Source organism: Homo sapiens, chromosome 11 (assembly GCF_000001405.40).
Source record: "Homo sapiens chromosome 11, GRCh38.p14 Primary Assembly".
Classification (NCBI taxonomy): Eukaryota; Metazoa; Chordata; class Mammalia; order Primates; family Hominidae; genus Homo; species Homo sapiens.
Genome location: NC_000011.10, coordinates 4,494,116 through 4,504,950, shown reverse-complemented (window position 1 = coordinate 4,504,950; position 10,835 = coordinate 4,494,116). Strand labels below are relative to the sequence as shown.

At 39.2% G+C, this 10,835-nt stretch overlaps 1 annotated feature.

The window, feature by feature from the left end:
• Nucleotides 8,606-9,805: an enhancer, noted in NCBI's record as "BRD4-independent group 4 enhancer chr11:4516376-4517575 (GRCh37/hg19 assembly coordinates)". NCBI's record gives its function as "activates an origin of replication core promoter dependent on BRD2, P300/CBP, MED14 and CDK7 cofactors, and independent of BRD4, by STARR-seq in HCT116 cells {active_cell/tissue: HCT116}" and the evidence as "EXISTENCE:reporter gene assay evidence [ECO:0000049][PMID:35650434]".

Sequence of the window (10,835 nt, the reverse complement as noted above, 5' to 3'; positions counted from 1 at the left end):
AATGACTGAAGTTTGAATGGATAAGACAGTTAAATTGTATATCATCCATGGAGTTTATATCTTGATACAATTAGGATGTTTCTGTCTTGAGGCTTCAGGAAAAAAAAATCTTAGAGCCATAGATAGCTATCGTTCTACCAACAGCCCAAGCCAAATGCTTGGCAACGGACTTGGCAATTATTAACAATCAAATATTTTCACTGTTTTGCATACAATATTAGATCCTCAGTTACTGCTTAACTTCAAGAAGGACTGAAACTGAAAACACTAAAGTCCTAAAGTGGGGGTGAAGAGTTTTTAAAAATATTTGTAGACTGATAATGGGATCATCTAAATCTTTCCCATTCTGGAAGTTTCAGATCAAACACCAGGGCTGAACATGTTCTTTAGAGAGATCCTCCAACATTTGCCATGAACTCCTTAAGTGCATGAAGAGATGTATAGTTTTTAAAATCATTTTGAGTTTATAACTACAATTTTTATCAGATTAAATAATTTTAATAGAATTCCTGGATTATAGTAAATATTGACATCTTAAAATAATACTGGATGTCATCACAATGGCAGACTAGAAGATAACAGGCAGAGTAGAAGATGCCAGCCTTCATTTCCCCACATATACCTACCCACACAACAAATAGAGAGCTATCCACAAATCAAAATAGCCCTGGGGGGCCTCAAGAGCCAATTTAAGAATCTGCAGCAACACAGTGGAGCAAAAGTAGAGAATATCCACACAAAGGTTCACTGATGAGAAGGGCATACCTGAGGTGGCTACAAAGAAGACAGGGGTGATTGTATCAGCCATGGGGCAGGAACCACTGGTTTCCAGTGTGGTCTGCTCTGAAAAAGAAACCAGCATCTTCTTCAACTTAGGCAATCAATGACCATTCATACTGGAGAGCCCCAGAGAGGGAGACACAGCTGTACACACACCAAAAAAACAGCTGCCATTGTGCCACTCCAGGACTAGAGCTACCACTTCTCCCAATACTGCATGTGCCCCAGGGTCCCAAGCCATGGCCACTCTGCAAGTGCCCACATTCCAGATCCTGGCTCTGTGGCTGCATTGTGCCTACCCATGCCTCTGACACCAGATCCATCACCACAGCAAGCTAATTGACACCCATACCCTGAAGCCAAAGTCTCTCTGCATGCCAACACTTGAGACACCAGCTCAGCTACCACTAAGAAGTAGCTAGCCTGTGTTCCAGTCCTAGATCTAAGGCTGCACAATGTAGGCCCATGCCTCAGACACCAGAGCAATTTGCACCCAGAGCTAAGGTCTCGGCATGTACCCATAGAGAGCTAGACCCCAGATCCATTGTAGCTTTACGTACAACTGTGCTGCCATCCATGGCTGCTTCACAAGCACCCACACTTCACATATCATTACCAATTTAACCATATAAGTGCCTGAACCCCAGGTCCTGGTGCCATTACCACCCCAGGCCCAAAGCTATAGTCCTTCTATGCATGCCACACTTCAGGCCTCCATGAGCACTACTCACCAGACATGGGTGCCATTGCCAACTCAAGCAGGCCTGCAAGTTGTACCCCACGCTAAGAGGGATCCCCTCAGCAATAACTTCCCTGAGGGGAGAAAAGGATTTGAAGGACTCCAGCAGTCACTGCCACAAAAGACACGCCAACAGCCCTCACTGCTTCTGCAGACATCCACAGGGTTGGCCACTGAGGATCCCTGAAATTTTAGTTAACATGATCTCAGCAGACAGAGCTGCATGGAGACTATACCGACATGCCATCTTCAGTGCCAAAACCACTGACCCACACCCAGCCAGTGCCTTCACCCCTCCTTTTAGGGGAAAGTCTTTCCCCACCAAAACCAGTCTATAAAGTCTGGAAGAGATGACTACTCCACCAAATGAAAAGACAATGTAAGACAGAAACTTGAAAAGCAAAGCCATCACCATAAAAAGAACATGATTTCCTAGCAGCTGACCCCCAAAAATGGATATCTATGAACTACTTGATAAAGAATTCAAAATAATTGTTTTAAAATATCTTAGACTCAAGAAAATAGAGTAATAATTCAAAAAAAACTAGGAAGACAAATGTAACAGATGAAATTTTTAAAATTCCGGAGCTAAGCAATACAATAAAAATGAAAAAACATCAAATAGAATCAACAGCAGAAGTGATCAAGCAGACGAAAATTTGAGAACAAAGGAGAAAAAGGTAAAAAGCCTATGGAATTTATGAGACAATATCAAGAGAGCTAATTCTTGAATTATAGGAGTTTAGGCAGAACAAGAGGAGAAAAGGACAAAGCTTAATTTAAAAAATAGGTAAAAACTTTCCAATCTGGGAAAATATATAAATATCCAGGTACAAGAAGGTAAAAGGTTTTAAATAAGATTCAATCTAAACAAGACATCAAGGCATACCATAATCAAAGACAAGGAGAATATCCTGAAAACAGCAAGAGAAAAGTCACCTATCGGGGAGTTCTATAAGTCTGATAGTGGATTTCTCAACAGAAACATTATAGGCCAGACAACATACTCAAAGGGCTGAAGGGAAAAAAGGCTAATGAAGTAGCATTTACCCAGCAAGGTGTCCTTTGGAAATGAAGAGAGACAGACTTTCTCAGACAGCCAGGAGATGAGGGAATGCATCAACACCTGACCTGTTTTACAAGAAATGCTAAAGGAAAAATTCAAGCTGAAAGAAAAGGGAGCTAAATTGTAACATGAAAATAGCGGACAGTATAAAACTCACTGGTGTGTTTTTTTTTTTTTTTTAAAGTACATGCTCAGATTCAGAATACTCTGATACTTTAATGGTGATAATATAGTAATATGTAAGTTACTTCCATCTTTAATATGAAGGTTAAAAGACAAAACTGAAAATAGCTACACTAATCGTTAAGGGACAGACAATATAAAAGATGTAAATTGTGACATCAGAAACATAAAATGTGGGTGAGGTTGAGTAAAGCATAGAAATGTTTAATCAAAGTTATCAGCTTAAAATAGCCTATTACAATGTTTTCTGTAGGCTTCCTGTAAATGTCAAAGCAAAAACTTATAGTAAATACACAAAAGATAAAAAGTAAAGAATCAAAATATACCACTACAAAAAATTTTCACAAAGGAAGATAAGATAGAAACCGAAGGCCCTAAAAAAACAGGAAACAATTAGCAAAATGGCAATAGTAAGGCCTTACTTATCAATAATTACCTTGAATGTAAATGAATTAAATTGTCTAATCAAAAGACAGAGTGGCTTAATAGATTAAAAAAGACTCAACTGTATGCTGCCTGAGACTCACTTCACCTGTAAAAACACACACACCAACAGTAAAGATGGTAAAATATATTCCATGCAAATGGGAACCAAAAATAGAGCAGGGGTAGATATACTTAGATAAAATAGAATTTAAGTCAAAAACTGTAAAATGATAATATATGTTGATAAAGGGGTAAATTTATCAAGAAGATATAACAATTGTAAGTATATATGTGTACCCAACATCAGGCCACCTGAATATATAAAGGTAATATTAATAGACAAAGAATGTATAATACAATTACTAGGGGACGTCAATACCCCACTTTCAGCAATGTACAAATAATCTAGAGAGAACATTCATAAGAAAACTGACTAAAAACACTCTAGACCAAATGAACCTGATAACCATATGCAGAACATTTAATCCAAGAATAGCAACATACATATTCTCAAGTACACAAAAAAACATTCTCTAGGATGGACCATGTTAATCCACAAAACAAGGCTTAACAAATTTTAAAAAATCAAAATCGTATCAAGTCTCTTTTTAGACCACAATAGTATGAAACTAAAAATCAATAACTGGAAGAACTTTTGAAAACTTACCAATATATGGAAACTTAAACATTTTCCTGAATAATCAAAGGGTCAAATAAATTAGAGGGGAAATGAAAGATTGAGATAAAAATGGAAGCACAACACACCAAAACTTATGGGATGTAGCGAAGCAATCTAAGAAGGAAGTTACAGCAACAAGCGCCAACATCAAAGATCCCAAACAAATGGCCTAAATGTTACACCTCAAGAAAATAGAAAAAGAAGAAACTAAGCCCCAAATAAGTATGAGGGGAAAAAAAGGCATGAGCAGAAATGAGACTAGAAAAACAATAGAAAATATAAATTAAACTGGGTTGTTTTCTTAAAGATAAACAATATAAAACTTTAGAAAGTCTGAGAAATCTCTACAAACCTAAGAAAGAATGCTCAAAATCAGAAACGGAAAACATTGTAACTGATACCTATAAATATGAAGGATCACTAAAGACCACTATGAATAATTATATGCCAACAAATTGGATAGCTTAGAAGGTTATATGTTTAGATTCCTAAACTTATAACCTACAAAAACTAAATCATGATGAAATTTAAAATATGAGCAGATGAATAAGTAATGAATCAATAATTAAAAATCTTCCACCAAAGAAACTCAAGAGCTGATGGCTTCATTGTGCAATCCTACCATTTAAGGAACTAATACCAATCCTTGTCACACTTCAAAAAATCGAACAAGAACTACTTCCAAACTCATTTTACAAGAGCAGCATTTCCCTGATGCCAAATCCAGACAAGATAGAAGAAATGAAAATTATAGACCAATTTATTTCTGAATATAGATGCAAAAATCCTCAACAAAATACTAGCACAAAATTCAACAGCACATTAAAGAATCATTTAACCATGATCAAGTGGGATTTATCCCAATGATGTGAGGATGGTTCAGTATATGCAAGTTTATAAATGTGATACACAATGTTAACAGTATAAAGGACAAATCATATGATTACCTCATTAGATGCAGAAAAAACTGACAAAATGCAACATCCTTTAGTGACTTAAAAAAAACTATCAACAAATTAAGTATAAAATGTTGTACCTCAGCCAGGTACAGTGGCGTGGCTCATGGCTGTAATCCCAGCACTTTGAAAGGCCGAGGAGGGTGGATCACTTGAGCCCGGGGGTTGGAGACAAGCCTGGCAACATGGTGAAACCCCATCTCTACTACAAATACAAAAAATAGCTGGGCATGGTGGCACATGCCTGTAGTCCCAACTACTCAGGAGGCTGAAGGTGGGAGGGTCACTTGGGCTCTGGAAGGTTGAGGCTGCAGTGAGCCATGATCATACCACTGCACTCCAGCCTGGTGACAGAGTAAGAGCCTATATTTAAAAAAAAAAAAAATTGTACCTTAACACAATAAAGATTGTATATGATAAACTCATAGCTAACAACACTCTCAAAAGTTGAAAGATTTTCCTCTAAGACTGGAAACAAGACAAGGATTCCCACTGTCACCAATTGTATTCAACATAGTGCTGAAGTCTTAGAGCAATTAGGCAAGAGAAAAAAATAAGATATCCAAATCAGAAAGAAGTTAAACTGTCCCTGTTTACAGATGAAATAATCTTGCGTACAGAAAACTAAATATTCTACACACAAAAAACTGTTGGAACTAATAAATTTAGAAAAGTCATAAATAAAAATCAACACATAAAAATCAACAGTGTTTCTATACACAAACAATGAAATATCTGAAAATAAGACAACAATTCCATTCATGATAGCTACGAAAAAATAAAATGTAGAAATACATTTAACCAAGGAGTTAAAGACCTGTGCATTGAAAACTATAAAACACTGAAAGGAGTTGAAAATACAAATAAGTGAGGCCAGGCGCAGTGGCTCACACCTGTAATCCCAGCACTTTGGGAGGCCGAGGCAGGTGGATCATGAGGTCAGGAGATTGAGACCATCCTGGCTAACACAGCGAAACCCCGTCTCTACTAAAAATACAAAAAAAAAAAAAAAAAAAAAAAGCTGGGCGTGGTGGCGGGCACCTGTAGTCCCAGCTACTTGGGAGGCTGAGGCAGGAGAATGGCATGAACCCGGGAGGCAGAGTTTGCAGTGAGCCGAGATCGTGCCACTACACTCCAGCCTGGGTGACAGCAAGATTCCTTCTCAAAAAAAAGAAAATACAAATAAGTGAAAAGATATCCCAAGTTTATGGATCAGAAGAATATTTTTAAGTGCCCATACTATGCAAAGTGATCTACAAATTCAATGCAATCCGTATTAAAATTCCAATGATGTTTTCCTCATGAGTAGAGGGGAAAAATCCTAAATTTTATATGGAACCACAAAAGTTGTGAATAGCCAAAGCAGTCCTGAACAAAAAGAACAAGTGCTGATGAGGATGCAGAGACAAAGGAACATTTGCACACTGTTGGTGGGAATGTAGACTAGTACAGCCATTATGGGGAAAAACTATGGCAGTTCCTTAAATTAAACTCTCATATAAAGTATAACTCTCATATGATCCAATAAACCCTCTTCTTGATGGATATCCACAGGAAATGAAAACCTCATGTTGAAAATAGGTCTGCACTCACATGTTCATTACAGCACTACTCACTATACCCAAGATATGGAATCAACCTAAATGGCCATCAACAGATGAGTGGAGAATGTGGTATGTATACACAACGGGATACTATTCAGCCTTAAAATCCCATCACTTGCAACAATATGGATGAATGTGGATGGCATTATGTTATAAGCCAGGCACAGAAAGACAAATACTATATAATCTCTCATATGTAATCTACAAAAGTGGAGATAGATGATGTTCAACAAAGCCAGCAATAACAAGCAATAGGGAAAGGACCCCCCTATTCAATAAATAGTGCTGGGATAACTGGCTAGCCATATGCAGAAGATTACTCCTGGATCCCTTCCTTACACCATATAAAAGAATCAATTCAAGATGGATTAAAGATTTAAATGCAAGTCTGAATAAAAAAACATATCTGATACCAGCCCTGTAGTTTGAACCTACTTCAGGGAATCCAGTACAATATAGTCAGTTCAGAGAAGTTGGCATGATTACGGATCCTGTGAGGGACAATTCTGCTTCAGAGAAAGAGAAAAGCAGGCTAGGGCTCCAGGGGAAAATCAAGGTACAAATAAGTGAAATTATCAAAATTATATATTATCTGGGCCCAAAACAATTCATTTGACGACAGATTTCTGAGGACTGTGGTCAATAAGCTTGGTGGTAAGCTTGAGCACTCAGAGTATCCCGGGGACACCAGGGGACAAGCCAGTACTAAGTACTCGACTTATTTAAACTTCATAAAAACCCTCCTGTATTATCTCAACCCTGTCCCTGTTCAGCCCTGCTGTAGGGCTCTCAACCTTCTGCCTGTTTGGCCTGGTAATGAGGCCCCAATCCTATCCCTCCACAGCCTAGTTTTCCATTTCTGAAGCCTGATTCTCTTTCCACAAATCAGGCTCCCTTGAAGCCTCAGGCTCCCCTGAAGCCTGGGTCTCTCTCGGAAAATCAGGTTCCCTTGAAGCCTGGGTCTCTCTCGGAAAATGTTTCCCTTGAAGCCTGGATCTCTCTTGGAATATCGGGTTCCCTTTAAGAAACCTCAGGCTCCCCTGTAGCCTGGTCTGCAATTACCGGGGCAGCCTGGATTTCAGGCCCATGAAAGATCTGCTCGGCAGGTAATCTCGTCTCATCCTGGTTTACAGGTTCTCAACTTTTCCTCCATTCAAAATTCCAACTTTTTTCTGCTTCTGGTCCGGTGGCTACTGTGACAAGTCACATACATTCCTAAAAATGAGACTCCTCTTATGAGGGCTATAGCACAGGCAAGAGAATATGGGGATCCCGAAGCCTGGCAATTTCCTCTAATTTTACAACCTCCAATACCTGCCTTCCCTGTGGCAAAAAATCAGCCACAACCCACTGATCTTGCTCAGCAGGCGGCTGATCTTGCGGCACCTTCACGCTCCGTGTTAATATCTTGTTTTTCTGCAGCACAACTGCAGTTGCAACAGCCAGTTTGGTTATTGCCCCAGAAAAAATCCAGACTTCTTCTCCTTATCACTATTTAGGAATGCAGCTAGAAGACAAGGTTATTAAGCCCCAAAAAATCATTGTTCCCCTCACCTGATTACAAGTCCAACAGGCTTTTGCAACCTGCATTGCTTGGCAAGTACATTTGGCACGTTTCCCGGGTATAACTGATTATCATTATCCTAATGCAAAACTATTCCGGTTCCTTAAACTCACTTCTTGGATCTTACCTTAACATTACTAGAAACACACCATTAGCTGAAGCTGTCACTGTTTTTACTGATGCTTCCTGTAATAATGGCCAAGCAGCATGTACCGGGCCAAGAGAATGTGTTCTTAACACAGGAGTTATTTCAGCACAACGAGCTGAGCTGATCGCTGTCATGGCTGTTCTTGAAGATTTCCCTGAACCAGTTAACATCGTTTCTGATTCGGCCTATGTAGTACATGTTGCTCGCAACGTTGAAACTGCCTTAATCAAACTTCTGCCTGATAACCTAATTTTTCTTTTCCAAAAGTTTCAATCCGTACTCACAGCAAGGTCTTCTTTCTACATTACTCATTCGGGCTCACACACCCCTCCCCGGACCCCTCTCGGCAGCAAATGCCAAAGCTGATACATTAGTTGCTCCCGTTTTTACAGATGCAGAAAATGTTCATGCTTTAACTCATGTCAGTGCTGCAGGACTCTGGAAAAAGTTCCCCTTTACAGGCAAACAAGCTAAAACCATCGTACATCACTGTCCTACTTGTCAAGTGTTAATGTTACAGCCACTTTCTTCAGGAGTTAATCCTAGAGGACTTTCACAAAATGCTCTCTGGCAAATGGATGTGACTCATTATCCTGCTTTCGGCAAACTCTCTTTTATACATTAACTATTGACACCTTTTCTCATTTTATCTGGGTCACTTGTCAAACAAGGGAAAGTATATGGTTCATGTTAAACGACACATACTTTCATCTTTCTCAGTTATGGGCTGTCCCGAGAAACTAAAAACTAATGACGGCCCCGGCTACACTAGTGCTGCTTTTTTACACTAAATTTCTTAAATTTAGTAAGAAATCAACCTTTTACAGCAGCAGAACATTTCACTGGAAATAAATTTGATCCACAAAAAGGAAAAGCGGGTATGGTGGAAAGATGCAAAACTGACAAACAGGAATCAGGCACTGTGGTAACATGGGGTAGGGGTTTTGCTGTGTTTGCCCAAAAGAAGGACAACAACCCGTGTGGGTTCCCTCCCGGCAACTGAAATTGCACTATAACTTCAAAGATAAAAAGCTCTCAGAAACAAAAGGCGAAGAAACGTCAGAAATTGAAAGGCAAGCTTTGCCGCCTGACACATAAATTCCATGACCTCAACATTATGACACAATCTCACCGTGTGACCTACAATACCAGTCATTCTACTCCACCAACATGGGGTCAAATAAAGGTCTTATCACATCAAACGGAAAAATTACTACAAGAAAAAGGAATTCCAAAAACAGGTAATATAATTCTGGCTGCCTTTATGGTAGTCAGTGTAGTGGTGAGTATACCAGCAGTTGGGGCAACTCAAAATTATGCTTCTTGCACATATGTTCCTTTTCCCCCTTTAATTCAGTCTGTCTCCTGGATGGACTCCTCAGTAGAAGTTTACACTAATAATAGTGCCTTCATGCCAGCCCCTAATGATGACAGCTTTCCAGCTCAACCAGAAGGAGATGTGCACTTTAATTTGTCAATCGGCTATAAATATCCACCACTGTGCATTGGAATGTCACCTGGCTGTTTAGCTTATTCTTATCAGAATTGGATGTGGACCATACCATCCTTGAGTAATGATTCTTATCAGGTACATAATGTGTTCAGTACCAACTCTTTTCAACTTATGATTGTTAAACTTAATCCACATGAGGACTGGAGGGTTCCTGTTACCACAAAAAATAACAAAAGGACTGCCAGACTGCTCCAATAAACCTACAAAGGGACCTTTTTTAGTAAATTCAATTGTATGGAATGATTGTAATGCTTCAAAGCCCGTAGTGTTCCAAACTCTACCTACGGTTGTTGTTGTTGACTGGGCTCCAAGAGGGTATTTATTATTGGCGGAATTGCTCCAGCCAAAATATGACATGCTCAGAGTTTATTTGTTAGAATATGTAGAGGACGGATGGCAGTCCTACAGGTTGAGGGAATGGGTAGCTCCTTACCCATTTAAATTGATGTACACAGGCATCATTCCTCCTAGACCAAAAATGATTCATCCAATTGTTACCCCAGAACATCCTGAATTATGGAAATTAGCTGCAGCCATGACAGGAATAAGGCTATGGAACACTACCTATCAACTCTTTGCTACTAATACCAAGACACCCATATTCAACATCACCTTGATGTCTAAACGGGTGATACCTATCATGAGATGTGTCAAACCCCCTCATATGCTGTTGGTTGGAAATACAATTATCATTCCCAATACACAAACTATAGAATGTGATAACTGTAAGCTGTTCACGTGCATTGATGCTACTTTTAATCCCAGAACAAGTATTCTCTTGGTAAGGGCTGGGGAGCGAGGGGGTATGGATACCAGTTTCTTTACATCATCCATGGGAGTCTTCCCCCTCTATACACATAGTCAATGAAGTTCTTAAAGGTATCTTCAAAAGAACTAAGAGATTCATTTTTACTCTTATTGCAGTCATTGCAGGTGTAATTTTGGTTACTGCAACAGCGGCAACCACTGGAGTTGCAACCCACAATTCTGTTCAAACCGCTCAATATGTTGAAGCATGGCAGGAAAACTCCTCCAGACTCTAGGATTCTGACTCAAGTTGATCAGAAATTAGCTAATCAAATTAATGATCTCTGCCAAAGTGTAATATGGCTGGGAGATAGTTACGAATTTGGAATGCTGTATGCAATTACAGCATGATTGGAATACTTCTGATTAC